We start from the raw sequence: 23,536 nt of genomic DNA, 5'->3' as shown, positions 1-23,536 counted from the left end.
GATGCCAATTGTCAGGTTTTAGCCCAAACTGAGGTCCTAAGGGAGTCGGTGAGGTGGTGAGTAGCTGGAAAAACACTCAAGGAAGCAGTTTGACATGGCTTTACCCTTCAAGTGTGAGCGAGCCTGGGCGTGAGCCATAGGTACAGTGTCAGCAGGGTAGTTATACCTTTTAGAGACAATAGTGGCTCCAAGCCAAGCACGAGCCCATGTGGGTGATCACATAATGCGCCTCACGTGGCGTGGTTACATAATGAGCGGAGTTGTGCGCCTGTGCTCCAAACTCACTGAGTCATCCTGGACTGGATGTCTGCCTCGGCCTATTCTTGATCACAGCACATCCTTTTTCCTTACATCTCTGCCCTCCAGCCTCAGCCTGGGCAACATAAGAAGGCTTCATCTAAAAAACAAAACAAAACAAAACAAAAAAACAAAAAAAAAAACAAAAAAAAAGGGAGCTAGTGTAAATAATAGGTTGCCAACCTATGCCAACCTATATAAGATCCTACGGTTGGGCACGGTGGCTCACACCTGTATTCCTAGCACTTTGGAAGGCCAAGGTGGGTGGATCATATGAGGCCAGGAGTTCGAGACCAGCCTGGCCAACATGGTGAAACTCCATGTCTACTAAAAATATAAAACTTAGCTGGGCATGGTGGCATGGGCCTGTAATCCCAGCTACTCTGGAGGCTGAGGTGGAAGTTGCAGTGAGCTGAGATTGCGCCACTGTACTCCAGCCTGGGTGACAGAGTGAGACTCCATCTCAAAAATAAATAAATAAAATAAAAAATAAATAAATCCTATGGAGCAGCTGTTGGCAAAACTTGAGTTCTTCAGGGTCTAGTTCAAACTGACCTTTTCCGAAACTTGCTTCTGCCAGTAAACAAATTCTCAGAAAACAGAGGTGGTTTTCAAAATATTTAACAACCTAGGGGCTGCTGGCCTTAGTAAGGTCAGGCATTAGCCCTCCAATTGCTGGATGTGAGATCCTGAGATGGGGTGGTCAGAGGTTAGTTATGGAAATATTTCAATACTTTTATAACTTTTATAGCCGCCGGGGAACTCCCTGGCTGAATCTCTCACTCTTTCTCACAAAGGCACAGAGGCCTTGTAACTTCCAGCTTCATTTGCATTGGAAATAGAGGAGGAGTAGGGCCCACCGTCATTGAGCCCAGGTGTTTGTGGTTAGCCACTGTTAAGTGTTTCCTGTATCTGATTGAAACAGCACTTGCAACCCTTGGGGCATTTTAAAAAACACTCTAAGACCGGCCTTCCTGCTCTTATGATCTAGTGCTCTTATAACCTTCTCATTATTTGATATTTCATGAATTAAACATAGTTTATTGCGTACCCACCATATAGACTGGGACAAAAATGGAGAACAAGGCTGGGCCAAGTGCAGTGGTGTTTACAACTGGTTGATTGATTATAACCACTTACAGATTTCTTTGTTCCTTCTCCATTCCCATTGCTTCACTTGATTAGCCTACAAAAGAGGAGAACAAGATGACAAGCTTCCAGATCTCCCACAGCCTATATTCTGGTGGGGAGAGACAGACCTAAAAAAAGCAGCTAATTAGAGTAGCCTGGGAATATGTATTACATTAGATATGGTGTGTATTAGTCTGTTTCCACGCTGCTGATACAGACATTCCCGAGACTCGGCAATTTACAAAATAAAGAGCTTTATTCGACTTGCAGTTTCACATGGCTGGGGAGGCCTCACAAACATGGCAGAAGGTAAGGAGGATCAAGTCACATCTTACATGGATGGTGGCAGGCAAAGAGAGCTTATGCAGGGAAAATCCCATTTTTAAAACCATCAGATCTCGTGAGACTCATTCACTATCATGAGAACAGCACAGGAAAGAACCCACCCCCATAATTCAATCACCTCCCACCTGGTTCCTCTTAAGACATGTGAGAATTGTGGGAGTTATAATTCAAGATGAGATTTGGGTGGGGACACAGGCAAACCACAACAATCCACCCCTGACCCCTCCCAAATCTCATGTCCTCACATTTCAAAACCAATCATGCCTTCCCAACAGCCCCCCTAAGTCTTAACTAGTTTCAGAATTAACTCAAAAGCCCACAGTCCAACATCTCATCTGAGACAAGGCAAATCTCTTCCACCTATGAGCCTGTAAAATCAAAAGCAAGCTAGTTACTTCCTAGGTACAATGCGGGTACAAGTATTGGATAAATACAGCCATTCAGAATGGGAGAAGTTGGCCAAAACAAAGGGGTAACAGGGCAAGTCTGAAATCCAGTGTGGCAGTCAAATTTTAAAGGTCCAAAATGATCTCTTTGACTTCTGGTCTCACATCCAGATCTCACTAATGCAAGAGGTGGGTTCCCATGGTCTTGGGCAGGTCCACCCCTGTGGTTTTGCCGGGTACAGCCTTCCTCCCAGCTACTTTCACAGGCTGACCTTGAGTGTCTGCAGCTTTTCCAGGCACACAGTGCAAGCTGTCGATGGATCTACCATTCTGGGGTCTGGAGGATGGTGGCTCTCTTCTCACAGCTCCACTAGGTGGTGCCCAGTAGGAATTCTGTGTGGGGGCTCTGACCCCATATTTCTCTCCCATACTGCCCTAGCAGAGGTTCTCCACGAAGGCCCTGCCCCTGCAGCAAACTTCTGACTGGGCATCCAGGCATTTCCATACATCCTCTGAAATCTAGACAGAGGTTCCCAAACCTCAATTTGTGACTTCCGTGCACCCGCAGGCTCAACACCACATGGAAGCTGCCAAGGCTTGGGGCTTCTGCCCTCTGAAGCAACAGCTTGAACTGTACCTTAGCCTCTTTTAGTCATGAATGCAGTGGCTGGGATGCAGGGCACCAAGTCCCTAGACTACACACAGCAGAGAGACCCTGGGCCCAGTCCATGAAACCATTTTTTCCTCTTAAACCTCTGGGCCTGTGATGGAAGGGGCTGTAGCAGGGGGTCTCTGATATGCCCTGGAGACATTTTCCTCATTGTTTTGGTGATTAACATTTGGCTCCTCGTTACTTGTGGATATTTCTGCAGCTGGCTTGAATTTCTCCTCAGAAAATGGGATTTTCTTTTCTATCACATGGTCAGTCTGCAAATTTTCCAAACTTTTATACTCTGTTTCCCTTTTAAAACTGAATGCTGCCAGGCGCAGTGGCTCACACCTGTAATCCCAGCACTTTGGGAGGCCGAGGTGGGCAGATCATCTCAGGTCGGGAGTTCGAGACCAGCCTGACCAACATGGAGAAACCCCATCTCTACTAAAAATACAAAAATTAGCCAGGCATGGTGGTGCATGCCTGTAATCCCAGCTACTCTGGAAGGCTGAGGCAGGAGAATTGCTTGAACCTGGGAGGCAGGGGTTGCTGTGAGCTGAGATCATGCCATTGCACTCCAGCCTGGGCAACAAGAGTGAAACTCTGTCTCCAAAAAAAAAAAAAAAAAAAAAAACTGCTTTTGGCCAGGCATGGTGGCTCATGCCTGTAATACCAGCACTTTGGGAGGCTGAGGCGGGCGATCACCTGAGATCAGGAGTTCGAGACCAGCCTGGCCAACATGGTGAAACCCCGCCTCTAGTAAAAATACAAAAATTAGCCAGGCGTGGTGGCATGTGCCTGTAATCCTAGCTACCTAGGAGGCTGAGGCAGGAGAATCACTGGATCCCGGGAGGCAGAGGCTGCAGTGAGCTGAGATCATGCCACTGCACTCAAGCCTGGCTTGACAGAGTGAGACTCTGTCTCAAAAACAAAAACAAAAACAAAAACAAAACAAAAAAAATTGAATGCTTTTAACAGCATCTAAGTCACCTCTTGAATACTTTGCTTCTTAGAAATTTCTTCTGCCAGATAACCTAAATAATTTTTCTCAAGTTCAAAGTTCCACAAAACTCTAGGGCGGGGCCAAAATGCAACCAGTCTCTTTGCTAATACAAAACGAGAGTCACCTTTGCTCCAGTTTCCAACAAGCTCTGCATCTCCATCCGAGACCACCTCAGCTTGGATTTCATTGTCCATGTCATTATCAGCATTTTGCTCAAAGCCATTCAACAAGTCTCTAGGGAGTTCCAAACTTTCCCACATTTTTCTGTCTTCTTCTGAGCCCTCCAAACTGTTGCAACCTCTGCCTGTTCTCCATTTCCAAAATGGCTTCCACATTTTGGGTATCTTTTCAGCAATGCCCCACTCTACCGGTACCAATTTACTGTATTAGTCTGTTTTCATGCTGCTGATAAAGACATACCAGAGGCTGGGTAACTTATAAAAGAAAGAGGTTTATTGGACTTACAGTTCCACATGGCTGAAGAGGCCTTACGATCATGGCAGTAGGTAAAGAGGAGCAAGTCACATCTTACATGGCTGGTGACAGGCAGAGAGAGCTTGTGCAGGGCAACTCCTGGGTTTTTTGTTTCTTTGTTTGTTGTTGTTTTTCTCTGAGATGGAGTTTCACTCTGTTGCTGAGGGTGGAGTGCAGTGGTGCAATCTTGGCTCACTGCAACCTCTGCCTCCCAGGTTCAAGCAATTCTCCTGCCTCAGCCTCCCAGTAGCTGGGATTACAGGTGTCCACCACCATGCCTGGCTGATTTTTCTGTATTTTTATTAGAGACAGGGTTTCACCATGTTGGCCAGGTTGGTTTCGAACTCCTGACCTCAAGTTATCCACCTGCCTCGGCCTCCCAAAGTGCTAGGATTACAGGCATAAGCCACTGCGCCCGGCCAGAAACTCCCATTTTTAAAACCATCAGATCTCATGAGACTTATTGACTATCATGAGAACGGTGCAGGAAAGACCCATCCCATAATTCAATAACCTTCCACTAGGTTCCTCCTATGACACGTGGGAATTGTGGGAGTTACAATTCAAGATGAGATTTGAGTGGGAACACAGCCAAACCATATCACGGCACTTGAGATTGCTCTCCTTACAGAGATGTATCTGAGCTGCCAATGAAACGATATCATCGTCTTGGGTAAATACTCGAGGTTCCTTGTCTAAAGCCACAGAACACTAGGATGCGGATATACAAAGAGTGAGGTTCAGAGTGGAAGTTTAATAGGTGAAAGAGAAGAGCTCTCTGCACAGAGAGAGGTCCTGGAGAAAATGGATTGGTGGTGACGCGCAGCGGCTCACACCTGTAATCCCAGCACTTTCGGAAGCCGAGGAGGGCGGATTACTTGAGGTAAGGAGTTCAAGACAAGCCTGGCCAACATGATGAAACCCTGTCTCTACTAAAAATACAAAAATTAGCTGGGCATGGTGGCACATGCCTGTAGTCCCAGCTACCTGTGAGGCCAAGGCAGGAGAATTTCTTGAACTCGGGAGGTGGAGGTTGCAGTGAGCTGAGATCATGCCAGTTCACTCCAGTATGGGTGACAAAGTGAGACTTCATCTATAAAACAAAAAAAAATGGGTTGCTGCCTCCACAGTGAAGTGCAGAAGGTTTTACAGATGAGCTTAAGGAGGTGGTGTTTGATTTACATAGGACACGAAAGATTGGTTGGAACAGGTGTTCCATTTGCATAGCATGTGAAGAAGCTGGCCACCTCCACCCTAATCTTTTATTATGAAAATAGGTGCTCTACCTGGCCGGCACCATGTTGCCTGTTCCTTTACTGTACATGTGGTAACAAAGAAAAGGAAGACGGCGCTTCCATGTTGAACATACCTGGCTTCCAGGTAGCCCTTTTCTATTGGCACAGTTGCCAGTATTCACCTGTGCAAGCTTCTAGCTTGCTTATCAATGTCTGCAACTCGCTTTTTCAGGCTGCCCTTTGTTAGAAAAGAAATGATTTTGTGGGTGCTTTTTGTTAAAAGGAAAGCCTTTCCAAGGATTCCTTTCCCCTCACTATCTGCTTAAATAATTTCTTCTAGATCCTGTATCATATCTCCCCCCTCAGGAGTGGTAACCCTAACTGTTGTTAGGGGGTGTTGGATGACAACCTTTTTTTTTTTGGCTACTTTCTGCTGAAGAGGCACATCTCGTGGGGAACAGCATCTAGGGCTTTTCCTGGGGTTGATTTAAGGGTCCTCGGAAGAAGGGCGTGTCCATATGTGGTTCCATCTGCAGCACCATTTGGAGTTCAATTGCTTCTAGGCAATAAGAGACAAATTTTACACTAAGGTTTAGAATATAGCATTTATTGTGGCCGGGTGCAGTGGTTCATGCCTGTAATCCCAGCACTTTGGGAGGCCAAAGCAGGCAGATCATGAGGTCAGGAGATCGAGACCATCCTGGCTAACACAGTGAAACCCCGTCTCTACTAAAAAATACAAAAAAATTAGCCAGGTGTGGTGGCAGACACCTGTATTCCCAGGTACTCGGGAGGCTGAGGCAGGAGAATGGCATGAACCTGGGAGGCGGAGCTTGCAGTGAGCTGAGATCACGCCACTGCACTCCAGCCTGGGTGACAGAGTGAGACTGTCAAAAAAAAAAAAAAAAAAAGAATATAGCATTTATTTATTTTTATTTTATCTTATTTTTCATGGGTTTTTTTTTGTGTGTTTTTTGTTTTTTTTCCAGACAGAATCTTGCTCTGTCGCCCAGGCTGGAGTGCAGTGGCACAATCTCGGCTTGCTGCAACCTCTGCCTCCTGGGTTCAAGCAATTCTCTGCCTCAGCCTCCTGAGTAGCTGGGATTACAGGCACCCACCACCATGCCCAGCTAATTTTTGTATTTTTAGTAGAGACGGGCTTTCACCATCTTGGCCAGGCTGGTCTTGAACTCGTGACCTCGTGATCTCCTTGCTTTGGCCTCCCCAAATGCTGGGATTACAGGCATGAGCCACTGTGCCTGGCCCAGAATATAGCATTTAAATATGAGTATTAAAATTTCCACTGTTGGCCAGGTGTGGTGGCTGACGCCTGTAATCTCAGCACTTCAGGAGGCCAAGGCCGGCAGATCATCTGAGGTCAGGAGTTTGAGACCAGCCTGGCCAACATGGTGATACCCTGTCTCTACTAAAAATAAAAAAATTAGCTGGGCATGGTGGCGTGCACCTTTAATCCCAGCTACCCGGGAAGCTGAGGAAAGAGAATCACTGGAACTCAGGAGGCAGAGGCTGCAGTGAGCCAAGATCGCGCCAATGCACTCCAGCCTGGGTGGCAGAGCAAGACTCCATCAAATTAAAAAAAAAAAATTACCACTATTATTGGGAGTACTATAGACTACAACCATGACAGTAGAGTTTGATACCTGCTAGCCATTCTGATGGGTTATACTACTGGTTTCCTTTCAGCAGGTGTTACTGTACTTTATCAGAAGCATTAATATAAAAGTCACATTTTTTTTTTGAGATGGAGTCTTGCTTTGTCGCCCAAGCTGGAGTGCAGTGGCATGATCTCAGCTCACAGCAACCTCTGCCTCCTGGGTTCAAGCAATTCTTCTGCCTCAGCCTCCAGAGTAGCTGGGACTACAGGCATGCACCACCATGCACAGTTAATTTTTGTATTTTTAGTAGAGATGGAGTTTTACCATGTTGGCTAGGCTGATTTCGAACTCCTGACCTTGTGATCCGCCCACCTCAGCCTCCCAAAGTGCTGGGATTACAGGCATGTGCCACCGCGACCGGCCTAAAAGTAACATTTTTTTAAGTGGATAAGTGGCATTGGATTGGGTGGCTAGAGTAACTTTATTTTTATATTTTATTATTTTATTTTTATTATTATTCTTTGAGACAGAGTCTTACTCTGTTGCCCAGACTGGAGTGCAGTGGTGTGATCTCAGTTCACTGCAACCTCCACCTTCCAGGTTCAATCTATTCTCCTGCCTCAGCCTCCTGAATAACTGGGATTACAGGTGCATGCCACCATGCCTGGCTAATTCTTGTATTTTCAGTAGAGATGGTGTTTCACCATATAGACCAGGCTGGTCTCAAACTCCTGACCTCAGGTGATCCACCTGCCTCGGCCTCCCAAAGTGCTGGGATTGCAGGTGTGAGCCACCGTGCATGGCCAAGGGGACTATTTTTAAGACAGACTTCACAAGCATTAACAACCTGTTTGACTGTTTTTATTAAGCTCTCTCCTGAAAAAAAACTCTGAGCACACTGGTAAGTTTTATCCTTTCCCAAGTGAAAAGCTTGGTGAAGAACTTTAAGGACTTTCCACTGGCTGGAGGCTGGCAAGTGGAGCTTGCTATCCTCTGACTGTAGCCATCCTGAGGGCTGAAAAGTTTACCCTGGAGAGATGGCCTATTCTATCTCTGCAGGGGAGTACTGAGGCTTAATTTCTCTTATGGAGCCTTCGCAGATGAGAGGGGCTTCAAGTGTGTTGATGCTCTGAGGCTTCCTTACTGCTGACTTGGCTGCCTGATGAGCTAACTTGTTTCCTTCAGCTATTTAATTTGTTCCCTTCTGGTGTCCCTTACAATGCATCACTGCTACCTCTCATGGAAGGAAAACTGAGGATAATAACCTGTTAATTTCCTGGCAGTATTTTATAGGGGATCCATTAGCAGTAAGAAAGTGTCTTTCCTTCCAAACGGCAGCGTGAGCATGAAGAACTAAGAAAGCATACCTGGAGTCTGTAAATGTTAACTAGCTTTCCCTTGCTTAATTCAAGTGCTGTTGTAAGAGCTATTAGTTTAGCTAGTTGAGTGCTTGGGCCTGGAGAGAGGGGTACACTTTTAATAACATCATTCAGAGTGACTGCTGCACATCCTGCCTTCTGGACTCCCTGCTTCAGAATGGAACTTCCATCCGTGAAGAGGGTACAGTCTGGATGAATTGGGACTACAGCCTCATTAATGAGGTGAGGTTCCTGAACTAATCTCCATTCCCCACTGGGTTTTTGCACTCCTAATATTGGGGTGCAGGACCTTAACAGTGCAGGACCTGTTACAGGGTTTCAGGAGGTCCTACATCTTTAGGTTCATAATGGCTTCTAGCACTTTCCTAGCTTCTGGCTTTAGGGGATCTTGTTTCTGGTTAGGAAAAGAAGTAGGAGCCTTATGATGGATCCGAACTGGCCTAGTAGTTAATAGCTTGACCTATTTTTCCTTGAGTTGCCCACACTTCTGGATTAATATTAGCTTCCACCAGGGGGAAGAGTTTGTCTGGGGCTATAAGGATGCTGGCCCCCATGCAAGCTAAAATGTCTTTACCTAATAAAGGAGTGGGATTTTTCAGGCATAATTAAAAAGGCATGTGTAAATAATAGGTCCCCCCCAACTACAACGAAGGGGTTGAGAAAAATATCAGGTTAGAACCTTTCCTGAGACACCCATCACAGTTGTGCTACGGGAAGAGGGGAGTCTTGGATTAAAGGGAAGATGAGAGAAGCTGGCTCCAGTGTCCAGAAGGAGGTCACCCTCCTTCCTTCGATTTCCAGAATCACCTGGGGCTCCTGTGCAGTAATGGCAGTTCAAGCTGCTGGAGCTGGGGGTTTGAGCTCCAGGACCAGTTAGTCCTGTTGGACAATCTGTGAGACTGGTTCTGAACCCAGTGACCTCCATCTCCAGGGGCAGTCCAGTTTCCAGTGGTCTCTGCCACAGACTGGACAGGGTCAAGGTTGCTTCCTCTTGTTGCCTGGGCACTCCTTCTTAAAGTGCTCTGACTTGCCACACCAGTAGCAACTAGTGGATGCACCTTGGGGATCCTGGACTTTGCAAGCCCGCAGAGCAGCTACTAGAAGCCTCTGTCTTCCTCTTGTGTTTCCTTTCTTTATCTTGGGCGTCCTCCTGGTCTCTTTTATAAAAGACCGAGGTGGCCTCCCTCAGGAGGTTTTCCAAGGTGCTATCTGGTCCTATAGCCTGCTTCTGCAATTTCCTTCTAATACTGGGAGCTGCCTATATAATAAACTTGTCCTTGAGGATGAGCTGTTCCTTGACTGAATCAGGGAATAAAGAGATGTGTTTTATTAGTGCCTCTCTCAGCTTTTCCATAAAGGCTGTGGGATTCTTATCTGGCTTTTGGTCTAACATGCACAGTTTAACTAAGAGGTTTGGTCCTAGGTTTTCATAGGCCCTCCAATATGCACATTGAAAAGTGTTTCCTTTTCCATTCTGTGGAATAGAAAAAGGGTTCCATTCTGTGGAGTTATTGGGGTTCCAATCAGGGTTGTCAAAAGGTACTGCCTCTCTTCCCATTGGGAATTATCGTTCCCCTATTTCTTGACTTTCCCTATTTACTCTTTTCCTTTTTGGCCTACTATAGGAGACATATTGCTCATCTCTGAACTTATCTGCTGCCTGGAGAGCTGCCTGTTTTTCAGCTGTGATCAGGTTTTGGCTTAAGAGCAGCATAACATCCCTCCATGAGAGGTAAAATACCTGAGTTAAGTTTTGGAAAGCTGCTACTTATTGGGATCTACTTATTGGGATCATCAGAAAATCAGCCCAAGCCTCCCTTTATTTGCCTAAAGTCCTGCAATGAGAAGGGAACTTGAACCCTAGTGGCATTACCTCCATTGGGCATTTCTTGTAGGGGTAAGAATGAAGCTGGGGGAGTGGAGAGTTTTAGAGATAGTGGAGCTGGAGGGGCTGATGGTGCAGTTGGAGGGATCCCCAAATAAGGAGGGAAAAAGTGGTTCATACACTGAACAGCTGCCTCAGATGATTCCCCTGGAAGTTGCTTCTCTAGTTTTGGGGATTCATTCCCTTTGGGCCTGCCTGATATGACTGCTAAAAGAGTGGGGTCCATTGTGTAACACCTCCAAAGGTCTAGTAAGGCCATACCCTTGTGCAAAAGAAAATGAGCCACCACGTTTTTCTTCAAAGTCTTGGGGTTAAAGGAGTCGCAGTGCTTCAGTATGCACTCCAGAGGAGTGCAGGCCAAAGATGGTCTGTTACCCATTGAAAAAGAGAAGCAAGAAAAAGGTGTTCCTTTGGTCTCCTTCCTTTCCTTTGGAATGGCCCAGGGTGGATGAGAAGACAGTGGGGTTGTTCCCCCAACTGTTTTTCTTCCTTGGTTCCTGAGCGCTGGCATCCATTAAAGGTGCTGCCTGTGGATGCAGACTTGATCCTCAGCCATGGAACCGGAGGAACTAAGCGATTAGTATTAGTCACGCTCACCCATGCAGCTCCAGTCCTCCACTTGTGATTTTCCTTTGACTTCTTAGACTTGTGTGATCCATGTGATTCTCTGATAAATGGATCTTGGGAAAGACTATGTAACAGTTGCTTTTGGGCAAGGCCCCTTAATGGAGGGAGTGTGCTGGTTTGAGCTCTATAAATAGCTATTATGTCCTGGACTAAAGTATTTATTCTTGCTGGGCATGGTGGCCCACGCCTGTAATTCCAGCACTTTGGGAGGCCGAGGTGGATGGATCACCTGATGTCAGGAGTTCGAGACCAGCCTGACCAATATGGTGAAACCCATCTCTACTAAAAATACAAAAATTAGCTGGGTGTGGTGGTGGCTGCCTGTAGTCCCAGCTACTCGGGAGGTTGAGGTAGGAGAATCGCTTGAACCCGGGAGGCGGAGGTTACAGTGAGCCAAGATCGTGCCACTGCACTCCAGCCTGGGTGACAGAGCGAGACTCCATCTCAAAAAAAAAAAAAAAAGGATTTATTCTTAGGCAGTGACTGTGGTTAACTTCTGGACATAAAATTCCCTTAATATTGAAGTACCATTTTGACTTGAGGCAGAGTAGGTGCTTTAAAAGAATGTAGGGACCAAATGGCAGTTTTTCTGCTGATGGGACAGTATCAAGACTAAAATTTGGTTTTGGAGGACATTTTTCTCCTTACTGTTGAAGGCAGAGTTTTCCTGTTCGGAGAAGGGGACATAAAGCCTGGTTTCTAGTAGAGGAGCACAAAAAGGGAAAAGAATTGGGAAGCTAGAGTGTTTTGGCAAAGGACCTGCAGTGTGCTTCATGGAGAGGATTCCTATTCCACTCGGTGGCTCTGTTGACCTTGAAATGCCATGTGCTCTCTGGGCCAAGGGTAAAGAAAGACACATTCAATGGGGGTGGGAGGGAACCCTCTGTTCCTATAAAATCACAAAAATGGCAATCCCTTGATCTATATTCCCGGTTACTATGGCATTGGCTGGTCTTGCGTAACAGAATTACTTCCCTGAACTGTAAAAGTTCCTGCAGCACTGCATACAGAGAGGGCTTAGGAGACGTGGCTGTCAAAAATAGGAAGGGAGGAAAACTGTGATAGAAGAAGCTGGAGATCCTGTTGCTGACACCCAACAGGCAGTCAGTGGCTGATGTTAGTCCAGAAGCCTTTGGGTAACACCAGGGTGTTGCCGTGGACAGGAACTATGAGTTGCCTCTAGACCTCTTCCAGCCCCACATGATGGCTAGGCTCTCCGTGAAAGGAAACCAGTTTGAAACAAAGCCCACATTCACAGCACCCTGAGGGCACTGAAGGATTCACTAAATTCTCCCCAGAAAGCTTCCTGCCTGAGTCTTGAGATTGGTGGCATGCCCTAAAGGCATATAGATGGCCATCAGATGCCCAGCATTTTGTTTAATTTTAAAATGGAGAATGAGAGGCCGCGAAATAAAAGGAAAGGGTTGGGGTCTGCTCTTATACTCACCCTTCCAATGAATCTACCTTGGATCTTGGATGAGCCTCCACAATGAAGTGGCGTCATTGGCTGGGGTAAATACCTGAGATTCATTGTCTCACAGCCACAGAACACTAGGACGCAGACACACAATGAGTGAGGTTCAGAGCAGAAATTTAACAGGTGAAAGAAAGAGAAGAGATCTCTTCACAGAGAGGTGTCCTGGAGAAAATGGGTTGCTGCTTCTGCAATGAAGTGCAGGAGGTTTTATAGATGAGCTTGAAGAGGTGGTGTTTGATTTACATAGGGTATGAAAGATTGGTCGGACCAGGTGTGCCATTTGCATACTGTGCAAAGAGGCTGGCCGCCCCACCCTAATCTTTTATTATGCAGATGGGTTCTCTATCTGGCTGGCACCATGTTGCCTGGTTCTTTACTGTACACACGGTGACAAAGAAAAGGGAGGATCGAAAAAAAAAAAAAAGAAAAGGGAGGACGGAGCTTCTATGTTGAACATACCTGGCTTCAAGGTAGCCCTTTACTATTGGCACAGTTGCCGGCATTCACCTGTGCAAGCTTCTAGCTTGCTTATCAATGTCTGCAACTTGATTTTTCAGTCTGCTCTTTGTTAGAAAAGAAGTTATTTTGGGGCTGCTTTTTGTTAAAAGAAAAGCCTTGCCAAAGACTCCTCTACCCTCACTATCTGCCTAAATAAATTATTTCTAGCTCCTGTATCACAAGGATCCAGTTATGAGAAAAGCTACTGGGAGGTAGAATGGGTGGAAGTATGAGTGCAGAAGAAATAAGCTGGAGTGGCTGGAGCTTCTCGAGTCAGGGAAAAATGAAAACACCTGTTTCAGGTGTAAACAGACTTGGATTATGGCTCATGAGGTTTGGATTTCACACCCAGCACATTGGTACATTGTTTGGAGGTTCTAAGCAAGGAGGAGAATGAGATCTGATTTTTCTTTTTTTGAGATTGAATCTCGCTCTGTCACCCAGGCTGGAGAGCAGTGGCACGATCTCGGCTCACTGCAACCTCCACCTCCCAGGTTCAAGCGATTCTCCTGCCTCAGCCTCCTGAGTAGCTGGGATTACAGGCATGTGCTATGATGGCCGGCTAATTTTTGCATTTTTAGTAGAGGTGGGTTTTTGCCATGTTGGCCAGCTGGTCTCAAACTCCTGACCTAAAGTGATCTACCTGTCTTGGGCTCCCGAAGTGTTAGGATGACAGGCATGAGCCACCACACCAGAACTGATTTTGTTTTAACCAGGTGATTCTGGCTGCAATATAGAAAGTGCATTGCAGGAGGGGAAACTGATGAAAACGGAATCAGGGAGGATAGGTGACCATTACAGCAGTAAGCAAGAATGGATTGGATTAGAGCAGGGCTCAACATCCCTTTCTTTTGTAAAGGGTCAGAGAACATTTCAGGCTTTGTGGGCTACTTATGGTTTGTCATATGCTCTTAGTCTTTTTTTTTTCTTTTCATTTACTTATTTTTAGGGATGGAGGTCTTGCTATGTCGCACAGACTGGCATCAAACTTTTGGACTGAAGGGATCCCTGTGCCTCAAGTCTCTTGAGTAGCTGGGACTACAGGTGCAGATCACCATGGCCACCTTCTTCTTCTTCTTCTTTTTTTTTTTTTTCTTTAAACAACCCTTCAGAAATGTAAAAGCCATTCTTAACTAGACTTCAGGCACAGTCTGTTGATATCCAGACCAGAATGACAGCAGTGTAGGTGAAATGTGGTCAGATTAACAATTTACTTTCTATTTTTTTTTCTTTTGAGATGCCCAGGCTGGAGTGCAGTGGCGCAATCTCAGCTCACTGCAACCTCTGCTTCCCGGGTTCAAGCAATTCTCCTGCCTCAGTGTCCTGAGTAGCTGGGACTACAGGAGTGCGCCACCACACTCGGCTAATTTTTGTATTTTTGTAGAGACAGGGTTTTGCCATGTTGGCCAGGCTGGTCTTGAACTCCTGACCTCAGGTGATCTGCCCACCTTGGCCTCCCAAAGTGCTGGGATTACAGGTGTGAGCCACTGCGCCTGGCCTTACTTTCAAGACTGAATCATGTTATTCAATTTTACCAAGGAGCAAGATAAAATTCAGAAAAATCAGTATTATGCAATCAGCAAGTTAGAGGTAAGATGAAAATTCCAGAAAAGATTTGAACTCAGGACTATAGGACTAATGGAATTCCTAGAGATAGAAAAGTATTTAACACATGGGGATGAGGCTTTACTGGCAGCATTCAAGTATTCCCAAAGCTTAGGGCAAACTCTGGGCTGGGTATTGGAATTTGCCAAGTGTTCTAGAATTTCTGTAACAGCATTGTAATGGAGTAAACAGAGGCCAACCTCAGTTTACTGGTGGCAAAACCAGGACTCTGACCTGAGCCTACTGACATGGGTCCAGTGTTCTTTTTTTTCCCCCTCATGCTTTGCAGTCTAGACATGTAGTTGTGTACGCAGTATTCTAATAGGCAGTTTTTGTTTTCTTGAAGTATCTGAAATGCATGTTTAAATAAACTTTATGTAATGTCTTCTTTGGTCTTTCATTCAGACTCTAGTTTAGTTTGTTCTTTTTTTTTTTTGAGACGGAGTCTCGCTCTGTTGCCCAGGCTGGAGTGCAGTGGCACGATCTCTGCTCACTGCAAGCTTCACCTCCCGGGTTCATGCCATTCTCTTGCCTCAGCCTCCCGAGTAGCTGGGACTACAGGCACCCGCCACCACGCCTGGCTAATTTTTTGTATTTTCAGTAGAGATGGGGTTTCACCATGTTAGACAGGATGGTCTTGATCTCCTGACCTCGTGATCTGCCCGCCTTGGCCTCCCAAAGTGCTGGGATTACAGGTGTGAGCCACTGCGCCTGGCCTCCTTTTATTTTTTTTTTAGGGACAGAGTTTTGCTGTGTGGCTCAGGCTGGAGTGCAGTGGTACGATCTCGGCTCACTGCAACCTCTGCCTCCCGGGTTCAAGTGATTCTTCTGCCTCAGCTTCCCAAGTAACTGGGACTACAGGCATGCACCACCATGCCCAGCTAATTTTTGTATTTTTTAGTAGAGATGGGGTTTCACCATATGCTGGCCAGGCTGGTCTCGAACTCCTGATCTTAGTTGATCCGCCCGCTTCGGCCTCCCAAAGTGCTAGGATTACAGGCATGAGCCACCACACCTGGCGTAGTTTGTTTCTGATTTTTTTTGTTAGCAGGCTTGCTTTCTCTGCCTCTAGAAAGGGGGGAGAAAGCTGTATTATGCAGAGATGATGAGAACAGGATGCGTAGAAATAGTCTATGCTAATCCAGTGGGAGGTGGCATACTCAGCTGTATTTACATATAAAGAATGCACAGGGATGGTGATTGCAGCATTATTTGTATTAGCTGGTTTTGATTTCCTGAGCTCAAGTGATCCTCCCACCTAGGCCTCCCAAAGTTCTGGGATTACAGGCATGAGCCACCGCTTCAGGCCTGAGAAGCTGTTACAAAGAACGAAGATATGTCTACACGTGAACTGAGAAGGAAAGGTGCCAAGATATATTGCCAAAAGAGTACAATTTGGATAGTATCCTATCTGTGTAGGAAAAATGTACTTGTATACAATATTTTCATGTATGTGTAAAGACAATAGTGGCTGGGTGCTATGGCTAATGCCAGTAATACTAGTGTTTTGAGAGGCTGAAGTGGGAGGATCAGTTAAGGATAGGAGTTCAAGATCAGCATAGGCAACATAGTGAGATCTCATCTCTATAAAAAATTGAGAAAATTAACCAGGTGTGGTGGTGCACCCCTATAGTCCCAGCTATTTGGAAGGCTCAAATGGGAGGATCACTTGAGGCCAGGAGTTCAAGGCCAGCCTGGGCAACATAGGGAGACGCTATGTCCCTAAAAAAAGAAGTAAATAAATAAATCAGGATAGTGAACTGTCATTTACCTATCACCTAGCCAATCTTGTGTCTATGTCCCTCTCTCCTCCCTTGTAACTTAGTGGAGATTTAGCCATTTTTTTTCTTGAATAAACAATCCTTATCTTGTTGAAAGACCTTGGTTAATTTCCAGCACTCTGAACACTGAAAAAATTGATTTTGACAAAATTTTGCCAGTGTTTTGTGGCTTTTATGAAGGAGAAGATTTTCAGATGTTCTTACTCAACCATTTCTGCTGATGTGCTTGGCTGGAATCACTTAAAGCCAATTCCAGACATCATATCATTTAACTCATACATACTTCAGGACACAACAGGTAAAGATTTTACTTATTTATTTTTGAGATGGAGTCTTGCTTTGTTGCCCAGGCTGGAATGAAGTGACACAATCTTGGCTCACTGCAACTTCCGCCTCCGGGGTTCAAGCGATTCTGCTGCCTCAGCCTCCTGAGTAGCTGGGATTACAGGTGCCCACCACCATGCCCAGCTATTTTTTTTTTTTTTTTTTGTATTTTTAGTAGAGATGGGATTTCACCACGTTGACCAGGTTGGTCTTGAAATCCTGACCTCATGTGATCCACCCACCTCAGCCTCCCAAAGTACTGGGATTACAGGTGTGAGCCACGGTGCCCAGCCAACAGGTAAAGATTTTAAAAAATTAATGAAAAGGCCGGGCGCAGTGGCTCACGCCTGTAATCCCAGCACTTTGGGAGGCCGAGGCAGGTGCATCACAAGGTAAGGAATTCAAGACCAGCCTGGCCAAGATAGTGAAACCCCGTCTCTACTAAAAATACAAAAATTAGCCGGGTATGATGGTGCAAGCCTGTAATTCCAACTACTCAGGAGGCTGAGGCAGAAGAATTACTTGAACCTGGGAGGCGGAGGTTGCAGTGAGCTGAGATCGCGCCACTGCACTCCAGCCTGGGCGACAGAGCAAGACTCCGTCTCAAAATAAATAAATAAATAATGAAAATATAGTTGTTACATATAACAAATTTAAAAACTCTTTAAAATGTCTTTTCCCCCCAGTTTGTTCAATTGGGACCCAAATAGGGAGTACACATTCCATTTGGTTGATATGCCTCTTAAGTCTCTAACCTGTAACAGATAATCTCTAACAGTTTCTTTCCTCAGTTTTTAAATTTTTATTGGAAGAAAATGTATCACATGTAAAATTTTATAAAATATAGAATATGGCTGACTGCATCCTTGCAGTATACTTAACAGATTCATTTGTCTCCTGGTCAATTTAAAAAACAATTTTCCAGGAAGGGGCCTGTGAGGTTACAGGTGTGAAGGATTTTTGCCCTTGATTAGACTGCTCCTCCAATTCAGTACATTTTAAAGATTTTCAGGGATCAGGACACTGCCTGAATGCCTCCTCTACCACTCCCAGTATAATTTCTAGGAACTGACCACTTGCTTGTCTTTTCTGCCTAACTTCTAAACCCAATTGATGAGCGGACTTCTTAGCGTTACCTTCCTGACCCCATTCCCTACCTTCAGCCCTTGAGAATCCTGCCTTCTATCCTGGCTTTCCTGCCTTGCACTCAGGGTGTCCATGGCTTCCTTCCATCCTAACCTAAGCTCATCACACAGAACTGGAATTGTCTGGCCTCCTTACATATTTCTAGACACATATCAAAATAAGATTATAGGGGCTGGGCGTGGTGGCGCATGGCCTGTAATCCCAGCACTTTGGGAGGCTGAGGCAGGAGGATTGCTTGAACCCAGGAGTTTGAGACCGCCCTGGGCAACATAATCAGATCTTGTCTCTGTCTCACGTGTCCGTGTGAAGAGACCACCAAACAGGCTTTGTGTGAGCAACAAGGCTGTTTATTTCACCTGGGTGCAGGTGGGCTGAGTCCGAAAAGAGAGTCAGCAAAGGGTGGTGGGATTATCATTAGTTCTTACAGGTTTTGGGATAGGCATTGGAGTTTGGAGCAATGTTTTGTGGGCAGGGGGTGGATCTCACAAAGTACATTCTCAAGGGTGGGAGAATTATAAAGAACCTTCTTAAGGGTCGGGGAAATTACAAAGTACATTGATCAGTTAGGGTGGGGCAGAAACAAATTACAATGGTGGAATGTCATCAGTTAAGGCTATTTTCACTTTTGTGGATCTTCAGTTGCTTCAGGCCATCTGGATGTATACGTGCAAGTCACTGGGGATATGATGGCTTAGCTTGGGCTCTGAGGCCTGACAGTCTCTACTAAAATTAGCTGGGTATGGGTGTCCTGGTACAGGTCATTAGTCTGAGCTACTAGGGAGGCTGAGGTGAGAGGATCACTTGAGCCCGGGAGGTTGAGGCTGCAGTGAGTTATGATCACCCTGGGTGAGAGACCTTGTCTCTAAAAAAAGAAAAAATATAGAAGTTTATAAACATTTCTGATGTTATCATAAAAACTTTAGATACTGTGTAATGTCTGCATGATAGTCTACGTATGGATGTGCCATTATTTAATCACTGTCTGCTACTGTTTCCTTTTTTTTTTGCTATCATTAATACCTCAAAGATTAGTACACAAATCTTACTCACATCTCTGAGGCTATCCTTAGAATAGATTTTTGGAAGGGGATTATGGAGTCAAAAGTAAGACTTCTTTGAGACAGGGTCTTACTCTGCTTCCAAGACTTAAGTGCACTGGCACGATCTTGGCTCACTGCGCCCTCCAACTCCTGGGCTCAAGTGATCCTCCCACCCCAGTCTCCCAAGTACCCATCACAGGAACGATCACAGGAAGGCGGTCACAGGAACGCACCCCGACGCGCAAAGATGGGATCTCGCCATGTTCCCCAGGCTGGTACGATTCCTGATTCATACTGGAGAACAACTTGCTGTGCAGTTATATTTTGAACCTCATCAAAATGGAATCATACAGCGTCCTCTTCTTTGTGCCTAAGTTAACAGTAGCTGCTATTCGTTCAGGCTGTTGCGTTTATCCGTAACTTCCTATTTCTCTGTAGAAATCCACTGTATGATACACCACAATTTAGCCACTCAACTGCTGATGGACATTTAGGTTACCAGTTTTTTACTACTACGAATAAACGTGCTATGGACATTCTTGCACATGCCTTTGGTGGACGTATGCACTCATTCCTCTTGAAGTGAAATTTCTGGGGTCACAAGGTAAGCGTACATTTAGCTTTGGCAGAAACTGCAGCGGTTTTCCAAAATGGTTGCATCGTGGGGCTGTTTTTCTATCTTGGTCGCTGGACTTTAAGCGAGGCGTAATCTAGAGGCACAACTGGCTCGGGTAAGGCGTGGAGCCTGACTGTGTGCCGGGATCTGCCAGGGCTGCCACCAGCTAGCTGCACGGGTGAACAGACTCAGCAAGGTGCCACAGTGGCTTCCCACAGATCCACTCTCGGTGGGCTCGGTCCAACGACCCGCTATGTCTGCCGTACTGGCCCCGTACAAATATACTCATTCACATACTGGAAAACGGGGTGTTTTTCAGAGCATACACGTTAGCTCACACTGTAAAAAAAAGTCAGCACTGCGAAACGCAGTCGCTTCTTTCCTCCAGGAGGTAGCGCGTCCTACTCGCTCCGGAACAAAGGAAGCGCTCTGCAGGGTCTCGCGGCTCGGCACCTCACCTAGGCACATGCGCAGATCGAACCTCACAGAGGCCCGCGGTCCAGGCGCGCGTGACGTAGCGCCGTCCCGCCAGTGCGTGATGACCCCAGAGCGTGCGTTCGGTGGCCCATAGGGGAAGATGGCGGCTGCTCCTTTGGAGGAGCGGGATTGAGAGGATCGGGGTGGGGAGACCAAACAAGAGAGACATTTCTGGCTCTGAAGGCGAACGCTTCGCTGGCCATTTAGGAGCTCTGCTCAAAGCCAGACGGTGAGTGCGGCGGCGACACGGGACTGCTCGCCTGCAGCAGGCAGCGGCACTCTCCGCCATTTTCGGGCTCGGCCGTTGCGTGCTTTGGGGGCCTGGACGGGCGCCTGGGCACAGGTTGGAGGAACTGGGAGAATCGACCTCGGGGCGGCTGTTCGAGGCAGGTTCGAGACTTATGGGAGGGGGCTGGAGGCTGGAGGCCAACCGGGAAAAGCGGCCATGGTTAGAACTAAGGCCCTGACTGGGAGCGGTGGCGACGAGAAGACGTAAGTCAGGCCACAGTTAAGACGTGAAGTTTGGAGGGAAATGCATTTTAACTGAGGTTTGGGGCGGGAGTGGAAAGAAGTGGGCCGAGTTGAAGTAGTTGGTTGAAAGGGTCAAGGGAAGTTAACGTGAAATCTGCAAAACAGCTGAAGACTTAGCCGTGATGTTATCGTGGCTTGAAATCGGTGCTTATTATAAGGATGAGGCTACAGCTTGACAGGCAAAGCCCTGCTTTTTTGGAATAGTTGTATTTCTATTTGGTTTGTGCTAGATCCCTGTTTCTGATTTTAAGTTGTCTTCTGGCAACTAAGTAGTGAGGATCTTAGCATGCCTTCTTAAAAGAAATGACAATGAATGTTTGTACTTGGTTGTAACCCTTGGGATTAGTGGCCCCTTCCGGAGTAAGGAGGAGGCGGCGGCGGCAGGTCGGTAGGGAATTCCGTAATTGGATCTATTTAAATCAAATCAGAAAAATACGGGCTACTTGTAGAAAGCCTGTCAAGAATGTTTTAAAGTAGTTTCTACACACATGATCTTAAGTTGACTGTTCAGGAACTTTGGAAGACATTAGAATATGAACAAAAAGCCTGCACTGAAAGGAACAACTCTGGGGAGCGTAGACTTTACTTTTTTAGTACACTCTGGAGAGCTAATGCATGCTATATATACATATATATGTGTATATATGTGTGTGTGTATGTATATATAGCCTGTGAATATGGTGCAGTGGTAAACCTACTTAATTCAAACCTTTTAGTGACAGTTATGCTAGTTGTACCTCTTGTGGCATTTTTCATTTCCTCGCCTTAATTGCATTTTACCCATTTTTTATTACTGTAAGATACTTTTGCTTTTTTTGTCTCCTTGACCGGGAGAAGATAAAATATTGTATAGATTTGAGTTTTTGCTGAGACTTGAAGTTCCATATTTAGACTATCTTCTTGAAACTTGGGGAGAAATTTTAACTTGTCTTTCCTGTACTCCTAGGAAGAATTTTGGTAGAAAGTTGGCTTATGGCCGGGCGCGGTGGCTCACGCCTGTAATCCCAGCACTTTGGGACGCCAGGGTGGGCGGATCACCTGAGGTCAGGAGTTCGAGACCAGCCTGACCAACATGGCGGAACCCCGTCTCTACTAAAAATACAAAAATTAGCTGGGTGTGGTGGTGGGCGCCTGTAATCCCAGCTACTCGGGAGGCTGAGGCAAGAGAATCACTTGAACCCCGGAGGCAGAGGTTGCAGTGAGCCAAGATCGCGCCATTGCACTCTAGCCTGGGCAACAGAGCGAGACTCCGTCTCAAAAAAAAAAAAAAAAAAAAAAAAAGGAATTTGGCTTACATATATTACAATGGTTTAGACAAAAATAAATGTTTATCTGTGAAGCTGATGGCTTAACTTGGATAATTTTCTTTGGTTGGTGAAAAATACTAAACAGATTTTGCCATCACGGTTTTATATTGACGTAAGGCTTTAATTATATTTTTACTAAGCACTTAAGGTATTTATTCAGAGCTCTCTTTGCTAAGTAATAAGTTCATATACTTTTCCCATTACTTTGCGGTGGAATATTATTTGATTATGGCTGAAGTTTGAACTGCTTCATATTTCAGAATAGGATAGTAAGGTTACAGAAAAGCTTTATGATTACGACAAAGATATTAGTGAAAAATTTTCACTTATAAATGTGTTTCTGGAATTCTTTTTTTTTTTTTTTTTTTTTTGAGACAAGAGTTTCGCTCTGTCGCCCAGGCTGGAGTGCAGTGGCGCGATCTTTGGCTCGCTGCAAGCTCCGCCTCCCGGGTTCACGCCATTCTCCTGCCTGAGCCTCCCGAGTAGCTGGGACTATAGGCGCCCGCCACCGCGTCCGGCTAATTTTTTGTATTTTTAGTAGAGACGGGATTTCACCGTGTTAGCTAGGATGGTCTCGATCTCCTGACCTCGTGATCCGCCCATCTCGGCCTCCCAAAGTGCTGGGATTACAGGCGTGAGCCACCGCACCTGGCCAATTTTTGTATTTTTTAGTAGAGGCGGGGTTTCACCATGTTGGCCAGGCTGGTCTCAAACTCCTGACCTCAAATGATCCACCTGTCTGGGCCTCCCAAAGTGCTGGGATTACAGGCATGAGCCACCGCGCTCTGCTGAAAATGATTTTTCTTTGGTAACATTTATCTCCCCATTTCAAACCATTTACATTAGTCCTAGAGACTGAAGCTCTTCAGTGTATTGGAAAATCTGAGCAGTGCTACTCTCATCTGTCTGGCCCTTAAACATTTTACTAATTTTCTGGTAGTGACTGACTTTCTAAAGTTGTATTGTATCTTGTACTCATGATTTGTGTGCTTATAAATTCCCAGAGCTAGGTAGTATTGGAAAGGGCATGTATGGGTTTCAGCAGCAAATGGACCTAGGTTTGAATGCCAGGCTCACCATTAACTACCTTTTTTATATTGGGTCAGTTAATTAAACTCTCTAAGCTTCAGTTTCTTTGTATATAAGAATGTTAACTATAAAACCTAAAGGTAAAAAGTGCCTCATATATAGTAGGCATTCTTTAAATGTTAACATTTTTTTTCTTTCTGTGATGAATTTAATTGGTGACATCATTTTCAGTTTTAAACATTAACTCAAATATCTTTGTTGAAATTTACTGACAATCTCATTCCTCTGATAAGTTAATCACTCCTTTCTCTGCTATTAAAGCATTTTGTATATATCTTTAATGTATTTTGACTATACCTTCTCCACTACTTGTGAATACTTTGGTTTTTAGTTTGTTTGTTTGTTTTCTGAGACAGGGTCTCACTTTGTCACCCAGGCTGGAATACAGTGGCATGATCATGGCTCACTGTAGCCTCTAATTCCTAGGCTCAAGCGATCCTCCCACTTCAGCCTTTCAAAGTCTTGGGAGTCATGAGTCCCTGCTGCCAGCTCTTTGTGAGCACGTTGAAGACGTGCTATAGTACCTTATATTTTTGTATTCCTAAAACCTAGGCATTATACAAATTGAAGAATGAATTTTCTACAAAAATTCCCCTCATGACTTGGTTTATTTCT

At 45.5% G+C, this 23,536-nt stretch overlaps 1 protein-coding gene and 1 long non-coding RNA gene across 7 annotated transcripts in view, besides 7 other annotated features; one reads left to right on the top strand and one right to left on the bottom strand.

The window, feature by feature from the left end:
* Window positions 10,854–11,054: a silencer, noted in NCBI's record as "peak3858 fragment used in MPRA reporter construct". NCBI's record gives its function as "represses an SCP1 promoter by STARR-seq MPRAs in K562 erythroleukemia cells {active_cell/tissue: K562}" and the evidence as "EXISTENCE:reporter gene assay evidence [ECO:0000049][PMID:32103011]".
* LOC124907885 (uncharacterized) lies at window positions 17,503–19,984 on the bottom strand. Its single transcript, XR_007087230.1, has 2 exons — window positions 19,092–19,984; window positions 17,503–18,723 (listed from the first exon to the last, which is right to left on the bottom strand). It is a non-coding gene; the product is annotated as an uncharacterized LOC124907885 (long non-coding RNA).
* Window positions 19,763–19,832: an enhancer, noted in NCBI's record as "active region_16505". NCBI's record gives its function as "activates an Ori minimal core promoter by ATAC-STARR-seq in GM12878 lymphoblastoid cells {active_cell/tissue: GM12878}" and the evidence as "EXISTENCE:reporter gene assay evidence [ECO:0000049][PMID:35858748]".
* Window positions 20,059–20,999: an enhancer, noted in NCBI's record as "NANOG-H3K27ac-H3K4me1 hESC enhancer chr2:128567810-128568750 (GRCh37/hg19 assembly coordinates)". NCBI's record gives its function as "activates a minimal SCP1, AML or CMV promoter by ChIP-STARR-seq in naive and primed H9 embryonic stem cells {active_cell/tissue: H9 hESC(naive and primed)}" and the evidence as "EXISTENCE:reporter gene assay evidence [ECO:0000049][PMID:30033119]".
* Window positions 20,064–23,536, top strand: part of WDR33 (WD repeat domain 33) — a 110,145-nt gene continuing 106,672 nt past the window's right edge. For 5 of the 6 annotated variants that reach the window (XM_005263697.4, NM_018383.5, NM_001006623.4 and 2 more), the window contains exon 1: window positions 20,064–20,223. The gene's annotated coding sequence lies outside the window, so the exon portion shown is untranslated. Of the gene's footprint in view, window positions 20,487–23,536 lie in introns of all 6 variants that reach the window. The other variant, XM_011511436.2, reaches the window with a different exon arrangement.
* Window positions 20,103–20,392: an enhancer, noted in NCBI's record as "active region_16504". NCBI's record gives its function as "activates an Ori minimal core promoter by ATAC-STARR-seq in GM12878 lymphoblastoid cells {active_cell/tissue: GM12878}" and the evidence as "EXISTENCE:reporter gene assay evidence [ECO:0000049][PMID:35858748]".
* Window positions 20,413–20,492: an enhancer, noted in NCBI's record as "active region_16503". NCBI's record gives its function as "activates an Ori minimal core promoter by ATAC-STARR-seq in GM12878 lymphoblastoid cells {active_cell/tissue: GM12878}" and the evidence as "EXISTENCE:reporter gene assay evidence [ECO:0000049][PMID:35858748]".
* Window positions 20,573–20,652: an enhancer, noted in NCBI's record as "active region_16502". NCBI's record gives its function as "activates an Ori minimal core promoter by ATAC-STARR-seq in GM12878 lymphoblastoid cells {active_cell/tissue: GM12878}" and the evidence as "EXISTENCE:reporter gene assay evidence [ECO:0000049][PMID:35858748]".
* Window positions 21,082–21,989: an enhancer, noted in NCBI's record as "H3K4me1 hESC enhancer chr2:128566820-128567727 (GRCh37/hg19 assembly coordinates)". NCBI's record gives its function as "activates a minimal SCP1, AML or CMV promoter by ChIP-STARR-seq in naive H9 embryonic stem cells {active_cell/tissue: H9 hESC(naive)}" and the evidence as "EXISTENCE:reporter gene assay evidence [ECO:0000049][PMID:30033119]".

This window comes from Homo sapiens, chromosome 2 (assembly GCF_000001405.40).
Source record: "Homo sapiens chromosome 2, GRCh38.p14 Primary Assembly".
NCBI lineage: Eukaryota > Metazoa > Chordata > Mammalia > Primates > Hominidae > Homo > Homo sapiens.
This window is presented reverse-complemented; position numbering and strand designations above follow the sequence as displayed.